Source organism: Homo sapiens, chromosome 6 (assembly GCF_000001405.40).
Source record: "Homo sapiens chromosome 6, GRCh38.p14 Primary Assembly".
Classification (NCBI taxonomy): Eukaryota; Metazoa; Chordata; class Mammalia; order Primates; family Hominidae; genus Homo; species Homo sapiens.
The window spans coordinates 43,249,130-43,266,474 of NC_000006.12; the positions used below are offsets into that span (position 1 = coordinate 43,249,130).

A 17,345-nucleotide genomic window follows, 5' to 3' on the forward strand; every position below is an offset into this window, starting at 1 on the left:
AGGACCACTGAGCTGAAGAAACCTTTGTGACCAATTCTAGTCCAACTCTATTCATTTCACAGAGGAGGAAGAGTGGAGGCTCAGAGAGTTTAAGAAACTCACCCCAGGTCACCCAGAGCTGGCCAAGAAACCAGGTCTCCTTCCTCCCAAGGACCAGTGCCGATCCTATTGTGTCATATTTCTCCTCTAGTTTAGGGAGGTCCTTCAGCAGGGGCTGAGATCATGTAAAATTTAGCAGGAGTGGAGAAAAGGGAGACTGAGAGAATATTCCTATTACTGGACTATGGGCAGGGCCACATTGTGACTTTCATGGGCCCCTTCCTCCATAAGAAAGTACTTAAAATTGTATTTTATGACTGCATTGGTATAAAGAGGAATATATTAATATTATATACTAGATTGTTCTCTTTGACCTAAAGGTTCATTTTTTTCCCCTGATGATTTTTTTTTTAATTTTATTTTTTTGAGACAGGGTCTCACTCTGTCGCCCAGGCTCGAGTGCAGTGATGAGATCTCGGCTCACTGCAACCTCTGCCTCCCAGATTCAAGCAATTCTTATGCCTCAGCCTCTTGAGTAGTTGGGATTACAGGCACCCGCCACCACACCTGGCTAATTTTTGTATTTTTAGTAGAGATGGGGTTTCACCATGTTGGCCAGGCTGATCTCAAACTCCCGACCTCAAGTCATCCACCCACCTCAGCCTCCCAAAGTACTGGGATTACAGGCGTGAGGCACCATGCCTGGCCTCCCTTATGATTTTAAAAGAAATTAAAACATTTTCATGGACCCCCTAAAGGTATCGGGGCCTAGTCACTGTGTCTCATGGATAAGTCAGCCCTAGCTGTGGTGCAAGGGAGAAGGGTTGTTGGTGGAGTGGGTGGTGAAGATACCCAGTTCCCTGTCTTATGGAGGTTCCATAATGGGTGGGGGGTGGGTGGGGAAGAAGGGGTGTAAAGAAGGAGAAATAGGTTCTGCTGGGAAATGAAGGTGGTAGAGAAATACCCTAGGGCACCCTGGGAAATTGGGAAGTAGGTGTCATAAATGTCTTGGCTGTCCCGAGCCTTCCTGACTTATCTCTAGCAATGATTTCGGAGCCTGGCAGATCTGGGCTTGAATCTCAGCACTCACACTTTTAATGTTGATGGGTCCACAGTTTCTGTAACATTATGGATTCTGCATTTGATTGCCTGGGTTTAAATGAAAACTGCCTGGCTTTGCTTTTTTTTTTTTTTTTTTTTTTTTTAAGACGGAGTTTCTCTCTTGTTGCCCAGGCTGGAGTGCAATGGCGTGATCTCAGCTCACTGCAGCCTCCGCCTCCCGGGTTCAAGTGATTCTCCTGCCTCAGCATCCCAGGTAGCTGGGATTACAGGTGCCCGCCACCACGCCCCACTAATGTTTTGTAGTTTTAAATAGAGACAGGGTTTCGCCATGTTGGCCAAGCTGGGCTCAAACTCCTGGCCTCAGGTGATCCACCCACTTCAGCCTCCCAAAGTGCTGAGATTACAGGCGGGAGCCACCGCGCCTGGACCTGGCTTTGCTATTAACTAGCAGTGTGATGTGGGGCAAGGTATTGCATTTCCCATGCCTCAGTTCTCCTTCTGTGCAAAATGGGGAATCACATGACCTTCCTCACCTGTGTTGCCAGGAGCCTTTGGGGATTAACTGAGATGACATTTGTGAGACCAAGATGCGGTTTTCCCCTCCCCTTTGCCCTTTCCTCTGTTCTCGCACAAGCAAACCTTAAAGGAATCTAGAAGATATTCGCATCTCCCCAGAGTTTAAAGTACCCCAGAGGCAGACATGCCGTTGTTTCCAGTTAGTCTGAGTCTGTCCCCTCCTGGCTCTGAGATCCTGCCTTTAAATTTCATCTCTAAGAGAAAGGAATTCTGGTTTCTCACTGTTCTTCCTCCTTCCTCTTTCCCTGTCTCCTTCCCAGACACAAGCACCTTGAAGTTCCCACCCAGCATTCTGCTTCTTTTCCATATCTTCCCTTCCTGCTCCTGTCTCTTTCTGGAGTGAGTTCAATGGTAACCTGGGAACTCCCAGCCCTCCAGCTCCGCCTGGTCTTCCTCCCTCCATCCCGCAGTGTCAATCACCACTAAACAATCACAAGTCATCTGGGTACTGAACAGACGTTCGGGGCGGGTTCAGAGATGCAGGAGGCTGAGCGGCCAGAGTCTGCTGGTTGATCAGAGTCGCAAGCCAGCAGGACAGAATGAGGGTTTGGGAAGGTGCACAGAGCGGACAGGCCCCCAGTGAGGCAGCTCCCCGAGGGGGTGAGCATCAAGCTCTCCATCCTTCTTTCTTTTTCTTTTTTCAGTGGACCTCCTCTGAGATCATGTACATCTTTCTAAAACCAAACCAGTCTCAGCTTGGAACTCGGCACCGTCTCCCTGCTCCCCATGCCTGCCAGCAAAGCCCTCACCCTCCAGGACCCCCGGGCCTCTGAGCTGAAATGATTTTGAGCCCCTCCCCAGAACTCAGCTTTGCTTGGCTCCCTGCCAGCTCTTCCTTCACTTTATTGCGGTTCTCCTCCCCGCCTTTCTCACGCCTGCTTTGGGAGGCTGGAGGGGGGAGACGAGAGGGTCAGACCGCTGCTCCATTCCCTCCAGGCGCCGGTCCCACCACGCTCTCACAGTGCCCCCTGCCCTGGAGAGGAGGCTCATCCTGGTTGTGGGCATCTGAACAGGGACCTAGGGAGTGATGTGACGTGAACTTCGGCAGTGAGCATGGGCCGCGAACATCCTTTGCTGAATCCCCTTTTGCCCACATACTCTCTCCTTCTTGTGACTCTTGGGTGGTTGCCAATCCCAGGAAGTGCCGGCTTCCCCAGGGGATCAATCCGCCCTGAGACTGGGAGGTCTGGCAATTGGTTTTCCTTCTGGATAGGGGTCGCTCAGTCTACACAGGGGATGGGGGAACATGATATTTGTTGTCCTTCTAGAGAAGAAAAGGTCAAGGGCGGCCCAGTGTCTCCTCAGAATCCTACATTAGGCTTTCTCCATGTCTATACGGGGTCACAGGTCTTTTACCCTTTCCTGACATCTGGCTCTGTGTGTGTGTGTGTGTGTGTGTGTGTGTGTGTGTGTGTGTGTATGGTTGCTCAGGAGCTGAGCTGTCTGTCCCAGGGCACTAGGAGAGGAGGTGGGGTGCTGATGGGGTGGGGCAAAGAAGAGAGACATGAGGTTCGCCCCTTCAAAGATACCCCCTTCTGGCCGGGCACAGTGGCTCATGCCTGTAATCCCAGCACTTTGGGAGGCCGAGGCAGCTGGATCACCTGAGGTCAGGAGTTTGAGACCAGCCTGGCCAACATGGTGAAACCCTGTCTCTACTAAAAATACAAAAAATTAGGAGGGCATGGTGGTGTGCACCTGTAGTCCCAGCTACTCAGGAGAGTGAGACGTTTGTTTGAACACGGAAGGCGGAGGTTGCAGTGAGCCGAGATTGCACCACTGCACTCCAGCCTGGGCGACAAAGTGAGACTCCATCTCAAAAAAAAAAAAAGATACCCCCCTTCCCCACCAATGAAGGATGCAACCAAGCAGCAGGTGGGATGAGGAGCTGTTCAGCCTGATCCCTGAGCACCCCCTATCCCCTCATCTTCATAGCTGAAAAAGATCGGGGGCGGGGGCTTTGGTGAGATCTACGAGGCCATGGACCTGCTGACCAGGGAGAATGTGGCCCTCAAGGTGGAGTCAGCCCAGCAGCCCAAGCAGGTCCTCAAGATGGAGGTGGCCGTGCTCAAGAAGTTGCAAGGTTCGGGCCTCGGGCAGGGGGATGGGAAGGAAGAGATGATGAAGCCAGGGGCTAAGAGAGGTGATAAGATCAGAAGCTGGGGTGAGGGAGGAGATGTCGTGTGGTAGAGGGAAAAGGGGATGGAGCCAGGAGCTAAGGGGGAGGTGACGGAGCCAGAGTCTAGGAGAGATGGGACCGGGGTCTAAGACAGTGATGGGGCAGGAGGCCGGGTTGGTGATCAAGGAAGTAATCGAGCTGGAGTCTAGGAGACATGATGAGGCTAGGGCCAGGGAGGTGGCAAGACAGGTGCTCACAGGGCCAGCACTGGAGGGACCAGGAATCAAGAGTGCACTAGGAACCCATCTTAGGGTTGGAAATGAGGAAGAAAGAGTAAGAGCTGGAAGACCTATGTCTGTGCCCCTCAGGGAAGGACCATGTGTGCAGGTTCATTGGCTGTGGCAGGAACGAGAAGTTTAACTATGTAGTGATGCAGCTCCAGGTGAGTCCCCGTGGCCCATCCTCGCTCCCCTCTCTAAGAGCTTGGGCTGTGACTCCAGGGTAGGGGAAGGGAAGGTAGACTGTGGCCCTGGGAAAGGGCAGTGGGCACAACCCTTTGGGGTGAGGCTGGGAAGAGTATCACAATGATGGTGTCTGGGATGATGGCTGAGGGTGAGTCTACCCCCCACCTCCACCCCCATGCAGGGCCGGAACCTGGCCGACCTGCGCCGTAGCCAGCCGCGAGGCACCTTCACGCTGAGCACCACATTGCGGCTGGGCAAGCAGATCTTGGAGTCCATCGAGGCCATCCACTCTGTGGGCTTCCTGCACCGTGACATCAAGCCTGTGAGTACTGCCCCCACACGCCTCTCTGTTCCCTCCTCCAGAACACACCCCTAATTCTTTCCCTGGGTCTCCTGGTTTCTCCTCTGCAACCATGGTTGGGACTTGTGATGGGACAGCCTCTTCTCCCCAAGCCCCTCCTGCTCTCCTTCCCAGGCCCCATCTCTTCCTCTCCCGTGCTCCCCAGGAGCATGCACCCCTGCCTGCCCCTCGGCCATGGCCAGGCCTCTCCTCTGTTCTTCCCTTCTGTTCCTTATCCCTTGCCCCTGACCTGACAGTTCTGGAACCTAGGAAGGTGAAGGGGCTGGGAAAGGATGGAGGGATCGAGGGAAGGGGACTGAGGGGCTGGGGCTTGGCAAGGAGTTCCAAGTAGCTGATTTTGTGGCATCTTGAATATTTGTGCTAGGAAAAAAATCTCCAACTTAAAGAGATGAAAACTGAGGCCCAGAAAGGTTAGTTGAAAGGTTCAAGGCCACCCAGCAGGCCTGCTGCCTTAGGCAGCCACACCAGTTACACCAAATCACATTGCCTTGCTGGGGAGTCCCAAAAATGTGGAGCTGTACAGACGTGGCTGAGTCACCACTTGCTGTGTAATCTCAGAGATGCTTCCTAAGCTCTTTGACCTTTAGTTTCCTCATCTCTAAAATGGGGATGATCACACCCACCCCTCAGATGAGAGGCTGTGACCTGATGCACACATGTGAATACTGACGTTTCCTTGCGGGCGAGTGAATGTGGGGCTGAAAGCCCTTCACCAGCTGCAGAGCTGTTTCTTGGTGCCCCTTGAGGTGGCCCAGCTGGGGTTGGGGCCCCCAGAGCTCACAGCTGCTGTCTCCCCCAGTCAAACTTTGCCATGGGCAGGCTGCCCTCCACCTACAGGAAGTGCTATATGCTGGACTTCGGGCTGGCCCGGCAGTACACCAACACCACGGGGGATGTGCGGCCCGTGAGTACCGTCGGGGCGGGGAGGACAGTGGAGGACTCCCCCCTACTCCCAGATCTGGGGACCCTTCACCCACTTTTCTTACAGCTGCCTAAGCTGGCCTGGCCTTGTGTTCAGTATCAGCGCCACCCAGCTCTGGGTGTCCACACTCGGCCTGTCCCCTCTCGCCGTTAGCCTGTACTCTTGGGGGATGCCACATCCATACCTTGCGATTTTCCTCCCCACTCTGGGCAGGGAGCAGGGTCAGCAGGCGGGTTTAGGACTGGAAGGTCAGAGAGCAGGCCCACCTCCCCAGCCAGGGGAGGTGGTCAGGGTGAAGAGTTAGACTTGGTGGCAGGGTTGAGAGGTGGCTGAGGTGAGGGCATGGTGGGTGACGTTCTTGGTGGTCTCCCTTCTGCAGCCTCGGAATGTGGCCGGGTTTCGAGGAACGGTTCGCTATGCCTCAGTCAATGCCCACAAGAACCGGGTGAGTGGCAAAGCCCGGGATGCAGGATGTGGAGGTGGGAGGGGCAAGGTCGGGGTGCAGTGTGCTGCTGGGGAGGGGTGGGGAGAGGAGAGTGGGGCAGGGGCTGCAATCTGCCACCCCAGAGACCCTGGGCTGGAGGAAGGCCCCTCTGTGGCAGACTCAGTGTCCCCTTCCTCATTTGTTTCGGAAACCCCATCCTCTCTGTTCTCACTACAGACCCCTGTCCGGTGAGGAAGCACACACGGTAGTTTTGGCTGTGGGACTCTGTGGGTGTTGGAGGGTTGGGGATGGAGCTGTGGCCTCAGGGAGACCCCAGTTCTGTCCTTAGGGGCCTGGGTGTCAGGCCTCCCTGACAGATGCCCCTCAGAGAAGGGTCAGCCGCCCATTCCCAGGGAAGGACCTGAGAGCTGCAGGTGACTCCCTCCCCCCACCTCCAGGAGATGGGCCGCCACGACGACCTGTGGTCCCTCTTCTACATGCTGGTGGAGTTTGCAGTGGGCCAGCTGCCCTGGAGGAAGATCAAGGACAAGGTGAGCCCCAGGCAGCTGGGTCTGAGGTGGCAGAAGGAGTGTCAGGGCAGCTGGGACTCCATCTCCCTGTGGCCTCTTGCCTCCAGGAACAGGTAGGGATGATCAAGGAGAAGTATGAGCACCGGATGCTGCTGAAGCACATGCCGTCAGAGTTCCACCTCTTCCTGGACCACATTGCCAGCCTCGACTACTTCACCAAGCCCGACTACCAGGTGGGAGCCTGCTACCCTGCCCCCGCTCCCTCGACACCACTCTGTGAGTGACTGTCCCCCAGCAGACCTCGCTCCTGCTGAGGCTCCACAGCCCTGCCTTGTCCCCAAGCCTCTCCCCTTGGTCTTCTAACTGCACTAAAGGCATGTATGCTCTTGTAAACTAGTCACAGCCAAGATTTATCAAGAGCTTACCCTGTTCTCAGTGCTTTTCATGCATTCACTCATTTAAGCTTCCAAGCAAGCCTTTGATGATGATGAATGCTCCTTATATTATTATTCCAGCTCTTTTTTTTTTTTTAGACATAATCTTGCTCTGTCACCCAGGCTGGAGTGCAGTGGCGTGATCTCTGTTCACTGCAACCTCTGCCTCCTGGGTTCAAGCAATTCTTCTGCCTCAGCCTCCCGAGTAGCTGGGACTACAGGCACGTGCCACCATGCCCGGCTAATTTGTGTATTTTTATTTGAGATGGGGTTTCACCATGTTGGCCAGGTGAACTCAAGCTCCTGACCTTTTGATCCACCTGCCTCGGCCTCCCAAGGTGCCGGGATTACAGGTGTGAGCCACTGTGCCCAGCCCCAGCTCTTAACAATTAATGAAGCTGGCCGGTGCGGTGGCTCACACCTGTAATCCCAGCACTTTGGGAGGCCGAGGTGGGCAGATCACTTGAGGTCAGGAGTTCAAGACCAGCCTGGCCAGCATGGTGAAACCCTGTTTCTACTAAAAATACAAAAATTAGCCGGGTGTGGTGGTGGGTACCTGTAATCCCAGCTACTCAGTAGGCTAAAGTGTAAGAATCGCTTGAACTTGGGAGGTGGAGGTTGCAGTGAGCTAAGATTAAACCACAGCACTCCCGCCTGGGTGACAGAGCAAGACTCCATCTCAAACAAACAAATAAACAAAAACAATTAATGAAGCCAAATGCTTTTAAGTACTTTACATGAAAACTCTGCGGGAGGCAAGTGGGATGATCATGCCCATTTCATAGATGAGGGAACTGAGGCCCAATATAGTGGTTAGGAGCAGGGCTGGGCTCAGGCACATCTTCTGACTCCGAGTCCAGGGCTCTTTCCAAGCGTCCATCACCACACCCCATGGGACCCACTGACCCTGATCAGAGAATGGGGGAAACATCAGCAGTGTTCTGCCTGGGATCCACTACACGCCAGGCACGATGCTGCATACTGTAGGAGTAGAGACAGCCTGAGGCACACAGGATGCACTCAATTAAGCCGGTCCTCTCAGCAGAGAGAAACTGCCCTGTGCTCTGGAGACAGCCAAGCCAGAAGTGGAGTGTTCTGGGGACCTCAGAGGGTCTATAGCTGTCTGCCACCTCCTGAACCCAGGGCCTGGCAGAGACGCCCCCTGATCTTGGCTTAGCCTCATGGGATCCCCAAAGCCACACAGCTGCGAGCACCCCCCAGGCTGGGGCCCTGTGCTGGCTGCTAGGGATGCAGAGTTGACAGATAGGCATGTGGACAATTCAAACTGATGCACTGTGCCCTGTAGGGCAGCTGTATGGTGGAGAGAATTTACGGTGAAGAGAAGGGAAGCTGCAGAGAGGAGAGGATGAGTGGGAGGGGCGCCCCAGCAGAGGGGCAGTCTGTGCAGAGGCAGCACCCCATGCATGGGTTTGGAAACTCCCAGTGGTTTAGGGTTGCTGACATGGTGGAAATGGCAGAGGAGGTTTGAAGATGGTAACCAGGGGACAGATCTCAGAGGGTTCATGTCCAGTCAGTGGGGCTTAATCCAAGATGATAATTTGCATGTTGATTTGCATATCATGTGCATGTTTTCATTTAAAATCAATGTGCCGTTCTCCTTCCAATGCCCCCTCCAGGCCCATTCCTGTCCTGGAAAGTCCCTGTCTTCCTCCTATGATCCCAGCAACTGCCCCTTCCTCCTGGCTAGCCCCCGGATCACCTCTCTGTCCTCCCATCACCCTCACCCCCTGCAGTTGATCATGTCAGTGTTTGAGAACAGCATGAAGGAGAGGGGCATTGCCGAGAATGAGGCCTTTGACTGGGAGAAGGCAGGCACCGATGCCCTCCTGTCCACGAGCACCTCTACCCCGCCCCAGCAGAACACCCGGCAGACGGCAGCCATGTTTGGGTGAGTCTCAGGAAGGCGAGCCACCAGCCCCTGCCTGGAGCTGTTACCTAAGAGGGCAGGCGGTCCTCTCCTCTCCTCTCTTCCTATCTGGACACACTTGGCTATCTTTCCTATCCTTAGTGGAGTTCTGGGACTTTGGGAAACTCTGCCACATCTCCACCCTCAATCTGAGCATAGAGTGGGCATCTTCCTCATTTGGAGTTTTTAACCTTAGTGGGTCCCTGGGGGAGCAGGGAACCCTAAGCGAAATTACCTGAGCCCCACAGTTTATCTGTTTCTTATCATTCATATGCATGAATTTAACAGCCATGTCCTGAGGCCATACACCTGAAAGTTACAGCTCCTGCCCCCAAAGCACTCTCAGCTGAGTCTGGGATGTTTGAAATCGATGGGTCAGCAATTTCAGAACCATGTGACAGGCACAAAGACAGAGGTGGTCGAGGGAGGAGCTGGAGTTAGAAGGGGCTCTCCACCCAGCCCCAGGAGCAAGCCAAGGAGAGAGGTGGGCAGGGGCTTCAGGGGACACATTTAGGAAGGAGACTTAACAGGAGTTGGTAGCACATTACAGTGCCCAGTTCCATACAGACATTGCTTAAAGAACTCGAAAGTTTAATCATCAAAGAAGATTAAATAAAAAAAAAATTTAAGTGTATATTCAGGGCAACTTCAATCTATGCTCCCAGACTGCAAAATAATAATAAAAGAAAACTAAATTTAAAAGGATCTCCAAAGTGATTCTCCTTTTTAGACCCATTCCTGGGTCTAAAGGAAGCCAGACAGTGAACGCCAATGGAAATCTGGCAGGTCCTTGAACGACAGCAGGATCCACTAAGTCAACAGAGCTAGATGGCTACATCTCCTTGTGGCCCCTGCCAACTTGAGGGTCGTCTGGTCTCAGAGGCTTTGTGGGCCAGCAATGGTGATGGGCCTAGGGACACTCTCACCCCTGACGGGACTGCCTCTGTGCCCGCTCCTGGGGGTGGTCTCCAGGTCTGTGCTGGTAGGAGAGGGCCATGGAAGGAGAGGGCACCCCTGCCAGCCTTGCCCATGGCTCCCTCCTGCCCTCTCCAGGGTGGTCAATGTGACGCCAGTGCCTGGGGACCTGCTCCGGGAGAACACCGAGGATGTGCTACAGGGAGAGCACCTGAGTGACCAGGAGAATGCACCCCCAATTCTGCCCGGGAGGCCCTCTGAGGGGCTGGGCCCCAGTCCCCACCTTGTCCCCCACCCCGGGGGTCCTGAGGCTGAAGTCTGGGAGGAGACAGATGTCAACCGGAACAAACTCCGGATCAACATCGGCAAAGTAACTGCCGCCAGGGCGAAGGGCGTGGGTGGCCTTTTCTCTCACCCCCGATTCCCAGCCTTGTGCCCCTGCCCTGTTCCTCCTAAGCACCCTGTCCCCGGCCATCTGCCTGCTTGCCCTGCCTCTGTTTCCCGGTCCCTCCCCGCACTAGCCTCGCTGTGTCTTCCATCATCATCATCCTCTGTCTCCTTCACCCTGAGGAGACCATCCGCCCACAGCCGCCTCATCAGCCCCAGCTCATGGCACTCCCCTCTCCTGCAGAGCCCCTGTGTGGAGGAGGAACAGAGCCGAGGCATGGGGGTCCCCAGCTCCCCAGTGCGTGCCCCCCCAGACTCCCCCACAACCCCAGTCCGTTCTCTGCGCTACCGGAGGGTGAACAGCCCTGAGTCAGAAAGGCTGTCCACGGCGGACGGGCGAGTGGAGCTACCTGAGAGGAGGTGGGTCTGGGGCCAGGGGCATGGTTGGGGCCCAAGGCCCTCTCCGCCTTCACGTGGCTGGTCTGGAGGAAAAGTTAGATGTGTGGCGGAGGTGGGCAGACCCTGGGAAGTGCTGAGAGGGTTATACTTGGGCCTGGGGTCAGACTCAGTTGGGGCCAGAGACAGGGCCTGGGAGAACCAGTGGGGGATCCAGAGAGGTCCCGGCTCATGCCAGGAAACGTAATTGGGTGAGTGCAGGCTGCAGGAGGGACAGGTGGGGCGCCTGGGCCCAGGAAGGGTGAGGGGCGAGTTGGTTGGTGGGTGTGTGTGCTTCCAGAATCTCTTCTCCTAGAGACTAATTATAGACACTTCAAGTGCAGCTGAGGTAGGCTCTCTTCAGCTTTGGGGGAGGGGGCCTGGGAATTGCTGGAAGAGAGAGCAGGGCAAGTTTTGGGGGTTAGGGCTGAAGGATCTGAAGTCACAGAGGGGAGGGGACCAGCGGGAACCTAGTTGGGGAAAAGGAGCATTGAGAAGCTAGGTGAGCCTTTAGGAGGTGAAGATGGGAGGGTGGGAGAATGGTCTGTTGACCTCGGATGGTGGGTGGACAACAAGGGCCAGGGCCCGGTCCCCATCTGTGCTGGTGGTGGGTGGGACAACATCAGGTGGGGAGGCCCCTGAGAGATGTTTCCATCTTCCCTTGGCCTCTGAGTGGGACTTCACTCCACAGTAGGACTGGGGCCTTCTCTGCACCAGAAAAGGGGTCTCTTCCAAAGACCCAGTCCTGGGGATAGGAGGGGTATCCTTTCTGGCATCCACTCTGTGTGTCTCCTTGTGAGCAACCTCAGTCCTTACACACTCACACAGGTTGGCTTACGTAGGACTGAAGACCACCATTTTTGTCTGTGGTAGCCTGGAGTCCCTCTCCCTGGAGACGGAGAAATGAGGAAAGGCAGTTTGGGAAGGGATATGAGTGGAGAAGAGAGGTGGGAAATGCCTTGAATGAGACAGTCCTGAAGGGCTGCCTGCTTTTAGAAAACAAGAAGCAAACTGGTTTGGCTCACAGTGAACCCCAGTTGCAGGGATGGTAGAGAAAGTTGAGGGCTGAACAGGATATCATAGACAGCAGAGGGTCTGGATGGGCTCTGGGGCACTCGGGAGCAGGAGACAGTACAAAAGCAGTTGAGATTTGGATTTCCCACCCCACTGTCTCCTGTCTCCAACCCTCCGTCTGAGCTCCCATTACACACACACATGCAAACACACACACACACACGCACAAGCACCACTAGCCCTGAGCCTTCTTTGGCACCCTTTCTCCCCTTTACATCCATCAAAACAAACTGTGCCTCAGAAAGGAAATGATATCAGCCATTGACATGGGAGCATAAATATAAGACCCTAGGTGGCCTCTCTCAAGGATGTTTTATTTAAGTCTTTATTAACAAGTCAATGAAAATATTGTGCACAGTCAGACTGGGCAGGTCCCACGTAGGCTGGGGTGGTGGTATTTTAAGGAAGCCCCACAGGCAGTTCTGATCTGCACCCCTGCCTCTGCAGCTGAAGAGCCATTGAACCACAGGCTCGATGCTGGGGGAGAATGAAAGTCAGCCCCCTGCCCACAGCCTGAATGTGAGGGAGTGGCACAAACCCCAGATAGGTTAGGCCTCCGTGCTGGCTCTCAGTGGGGTACCCTGGCATTTGAGAGAGGGCGATTCTTTCTTGTGTAGCACCTCCCCACACACACACTACTGTACAATCAGAAATATCCTCCTCTTGGGGCTGGCATGACCCCAAGTTGAGAAGCTCTGAAAGTAATGTGAGATTCACAGCACAGTTCAATATAATGAGGCTGGGAACAGTGGCTCGCGTCTGTAATCCCAGCACTTTGGGAGGCCAAGGTGGGTGGATCACCTGAGGTCAGGAGTTTGAGACCAGCCTGGCCAACATGGTGAAACCCCATCTCTACTAAAAATACAAAAATTAGGGAGGCGTGGTGGTGTGCACCTGTAAGCGCAGCTACTCAGGAGGCTGAGGCAGGAGAATAGCTTGAACCTGGGGGGTGGAGGTTACAGTGAGCCAAGATCATGCTACTGCATTCCAGTCTGGGTGACAGATTCTGTCTCAAAAAAAAAAAAAAAAAAAAAGATAACGACAGAAGAGATGTCCCAAGGCAGGATCAATGCCCTTGGGGTAAAGTCAGATGGGACCCAGGCCCTGCGCAGCAGAGCTCACAGTCTCTTGGGGAGACAGATTATGTGACAGACATGAGGTTCACCCTGTGATGAGAGAGAGATAGAACGCACTAATCCTTGTAGGATGGGAAAGGCAGGCTACCTGCCCAAGGTGACAGCCAACCTGTATCAGACAGCAAAGGGTAGAAGGACAGGCTGTGTGTGGGGAGAGGTCCTGTGGGGAGAGGCTACATTGGGGGTGGGCCGTAAGGGTGGAATCTGAGATGGGGCTGGTGAGGGAAATGGGGAGACAGCTGTATTCAGGCTGTGAGAGGCCTTGAGTGTAAACCAAGGAATGTGGACTTTGTTGTTGGGGCCGGGGAGTCACTGGAGTTTGTTGAGCTGGGACTAGCAAGGCCATCTTGGGGGTGATGAAACCAGCCAGGCAGGCCTGGAGGGTGATGGCAGAGGAGGCTGGAAAGCCCTCTGTAAACTCAAGGGCCAGTTGGGTGTGTTTGCCTGGAAGCAGCAGGAAGCAGCCACTGGCGGGTGTGAGCACTGGAGAGGCAAGAACAAAGCTTGCCTGAGGAAGATTAGCTTCCCTAGGGTGGCCCAGGAGAGAGCGTTCCTTGCACAGAAACCCGAGTTTATTTTCTGCTTGTTTGTATTCCTGGAGCACGGTAAGCATTCAAAAACATTTGTTGAATGAATGAATGAATGAATGAACGAACGAACTAACAAACGAACTAACAAAGCCTTGATAGGAAGTGAGGTTGGAGGGTGACAACCTAGAGGTAACTGGCCTGGCTCAGGGTGGGAGGGGTACTGCGGTCAGGAGGTTTTGGGAGTCACGCCCCACCCTGCCGCTGGCGTGGGGTCCTTGGGGGTCCAGTGGGGCCAGGTATTGAGCCCCGTGAGGGGTGGCTTTGCAGGTCACGGATGGATCTGCCTGGCTCGCCCTCGCGCCAGGCCTGCTCCTCTCAGCCAGCCCAGATGCTGTCAGTGGACACAGGCCACGCTGACCGACAGGCCAGTGGCCGCATGGACGTGTCAGCCTCTGTGGAGCAGGAGGCCCTGAGCAACGCCTTCCGCTCGGTGCCGCTGGCTGAGGAGGAGGATTTCGACAGCAAAGAGTGGGTCATCATCGACAAGGAGACGGAGCTCAAGGACTTCCCTCCAGGGGCTGAGCCCAGCACATCGGGCACCACGGATGAGGAGCCCGAGGAGCTGCGGCCACTGCCCGAGGAGGGCGAAGAGCGGCGGCGGCTGGGGGCAGAGCCCACCGTCCGGCCCCGGGGACGCAGCATGCAGGCGCTGGCGGAGGAGGACCTGCAGCATTTGCCGCCCCAGCCCCTGCCACCCCAGCTGAGCCAGGGCGATGGCCGTTCCGAGACGTCACAGCCCCCCACGCCTGGCAGCCCTTCCCACTCACCCCTGCACTCGGGACCCCGCCCTCGACGGAGAGAGTCGGACCCCACAGGCCCACAGAGACAGGTAAGGTTGGGCTTGCACCCCACTCCCCATCTCCAGATGCCCAGAGTCCTGGTGTGTAGGCCTGGGGTGCTCCATGTGTGCTGGCACTACTGACCAGTAAGCCAGCAGTCACAGGGCTGTGATGGAGGTAGACAGGCTTAAGGGTCTGAAACCATGTTTGAGGGGCAGGCAAGGCTTCCCAGAGGAAGTGCCCTCTCAGTTCTGAGTTGAGTCTGGCACTATGAGCAGTGAAGCCAAGTGACAAGGCAGGAGAAGGGCCTCGCAGGCCACGGGCACAGTGTTTTGCACAGGCCGGGAGGGGGCGATCTGAGAACACTGAGCTGATGGCACACTGCAGCAGACAAGGCTGTGAGGTCAGCCCTGGGCCCTGCCACGGAGGGACTTGGGGCTATACTAAGGGGCCAGGACTTGATGCTGCAGGTTTGGTGAGCCACTGAAGGCTTTTAAACAGGAGTGCAATATGATTACATTGGTACTGTTGAATGATCCTTAGGCTGCTGTGTGGAAAATGGATTGAAATGGCCTGAAATGAGATGCAAGCAGGCCACGTGGCAGGCAGTGGCAAGAGAGTGTCCCAGTGGCTTGGGCTGAGGTGGGGCTGTGGATGTGGGGCAAGGTGGATAGTGCCAAGGGTGTTGGGGATAGGTCAAGCAGGCTGTGATGGAGTGGGGGCCAGGGCGTCTCGTGTCTCGGCTGATGCCCTGAGTGGTTTTGAAGGGAATGAGAATTCAGATTTAAATACAATGATCTGACCAGTGCGGTGGCTCAGGCCTGTAATCCCAGCAATTTGGGAGGCCAAGGTGGGCAGATCACCTGAGGTCAGGAGTTCAAGACCAGCCTGGCCAACATGGTGAAACCCCATCTTTACTAAAAATACAAAAAATTAGCCGGGTGTGGTGGTGCCTGCCTGTAATCCCAGCTACTTGGGAGGCTGAGGCATGAGAATTGATTGAACCCAAGAGGCAGAGGTTGCAGTGAGCCAAGACTGTGCCATTGCACTCCAGCCTGGGTGACAGAGCGAGACTCTGACTCAAAATAAAATAAAATAAAATAAAATAAATATAATAACTTCATGGAATCTAAGGGATGTCCACGTGTAGGCACCTGAGGCTCAGGAGAGGGATCTCGCCTGGAAATACAGATTTCGGGGTTTGGGAAACCATGGGAATGGGTGATGTTACCCAAAAGGACTGTGCAGGGTGTGGAACCCAAAAGTGAGGGCAGAAGCTGAGAGGTGCTCACATCTAGGGGGAATGAGAGGAGAAGGAGCTCTGCATGATGAGTGAGAGGGAGAGGTCGGAGCATGGGAGGAGCACAGGGGAGAAGGTCCTCGAAATCAGGGCAGGAGAGGTCTGGAGGGCAGCAGGGAGGAGTGGGAAGTGGTTCCCATGATCAGGGCGGGCTTCATGGAGGAGGTGAGCTCTGAGAGCCAGGTGGATGGCCGTGGGGAGGAGTGGAGCCAAGGCGAGAGAGACTATAGTTGAGCACAGGGACAGGTGTGTTGGGTGCCCTGGGAGAGCCCAGTCTGGCTGCAATGGCAACTCCTTGTGTGGGAGGACTGAGGAACAAGGCTGGAAGGGCAGGGAGGGGCCAGATGGTGGCCAAATTGCAAAATGTCTCATGATATTTAGGTTATTCTGACAAGGACAGGGTGTCAGAATAGGCAGAGAGCCACTGGCCTGACCAGGCTTTGCTGTGTGGGACAGAGGCTGAACTCTGACCTGGGAAATGGAGGAAAACTCCAAATGGGGTCCATGAACCCACAGAGGGGCTGGGGAGAGTCATGGAGGGGATGCCGGAAGGGGCTCAGGGGCTGTGCCGCGTTCCACATAGTGGTCCCACATTGGGGGCGTACACTCTAGGTGGCTCTGGGAGGTGCCCAGGTGTTGGGCCAGGGGCCAGTTCTACCACTTGCTCAGATTGGGAGGCCTTGCCTGGGATCACATGGGTGCCCTGGGAAAAGCAGCTGTGGGCAGGAGTGTATGCAGACCCCATCCCTATCTAGAGGTCCCTTCTAGAAGAGAGGACCTCTGAGCTGTGATCCTGGGGAGTATGCATCCAGGCCTTGCCTGGACACTGGAAACTGGGGGCTCAAAAAGTGGGGCCCGTGAGTCCTCACCCAGAGAGGCCCTAGCTGGCCTGAGTTGGAGGAGCAGCCCTGGCAGACCTGGCAGTCAAGTGGGCTGGCACCATTGCGTTGTAACTAGCCATTGCTCCCACCACACCCAGCACCAGGCAGCAGGAGAGGGAGCAAAATGTGTTTGGGGTCCTTGCTCCGCTCCCGTTTATTCATCCACACTCACTGAGTATTTACTGTGTGCCATGTACCACAGGCATCAGAGGTGACTTGCACAATAGGTTGTACCCGTAGGAAGTGCAGAGTCTAGGGAGGGTGACAGACAGTGTCAAGAGAGAGCCGAGAATTAAAGTCAGGAGACTGAGGTCTGGACCTGGCTCTGCCGTTCCCTTCCCAGTGACTGAGGGCCAGTCAGTGTCCCTTTCTGGGTCTCCAGGTGAGGGAGCTGAGGTTCTTCCGAGGTTCATCTCTAAAGTTTTTCTTACCTGCAGATTCCTACCTGTGTCCTGGGACTCATCCTCACTTTGGGGAATTCTGGCCAAGCGGGTGGGGAGAGAGAGATTTGGTGGGGTGGGGAAGCACAGGCCGATTCTGTAATCAGTCTCGGGCTCGGGTCCTGCTTGTGACAGGGACTGGCACTACCTATGTCAGCAAGAGATGAGTTGTGTGTGTCTTTGGGGGTGAGGTGTTTGTGGGCCTCGGGTTCCCCACAGTGTATAGAATCGAGGTTGGTTAGCACTCTGCCCCTGTGCATGTGCGTTTGTGTCAGCGGAGCTCGAGCTGTGCACTGGTGGATGGATGTGTCCACATGTATGTGCCTGCATGTGGGTGCACACATTATTGCATTTGTGTAGAATATGCAGCAGGTCTGCAAGTGTGTACAGAACCACAGATGCCTAGAATGTCAAAGCATTTCTATTGATGGTAACAATTGGAGTAATAATTCTAATAATGACAACAATAGTTAGCACTGTCCTAAGCACTTTCATGTTTACATGTATATTCTTCACAACAACACTGTGAACAGGGAATCCTGATTTTAAAAGT

General features: G+C 54.9%; 1 protein-coding gene across 6 annotated transcripts in view; it reads left to right on the forward strand.

The window, feature by feature from the left end:
• The window catches only part of TTBK1 (tau tubulin kinase 1), a 44,778-nt gene that overhangs the window by 5,649 nt on the left and 21,784 nt on the right, over positions 1-17,345 (forward strand). For 3 of the 6 annotated variants that reach the window (XM_017011364.2, XM_017011365.2, XM_017011367.2), the window contains exons 3-12: positions 3,610-3,757; positions 4,162-4,235; positions 4,439-4,579; positions 5,418-5,522; positions 5,920-5,985; positions 6,423-6,515; positions 6,602-6,727; positions 8,683-8,837; positions 9,909-10,577; positions 13,660-14,221. In XM_017011364.2, coding sequence (XP_016866853.1) covers positions 3,610-3,757; positions 4,162-4,235; positions 4,439-4,579; positions 5,418-5,522; positions 5,920-5,985; positions 6,423-6,515; positions 6,602-6,727; positions 8,683-8,837; positions 9,909-10,577; positions 13,660-14,221 — 2,139 coding nt within the window. The remainder of the gene's footprint in view (positions 1-3,609; positions 3,758-4,161; positions 4,236-4,438; positions 4,580-5,417; positions 5,523-5,919; positions 5,986-6,422; positions 6,516-6,601; positions 6,728-8,682; positions 8,838-9,908; positions 10,578-13,659; positions 14,222-17,345) is intronic. The other 3 variants (XM_017011366.2, NM_032538.3, XM_011514947.3) reach the window with 2 other exon arrangements.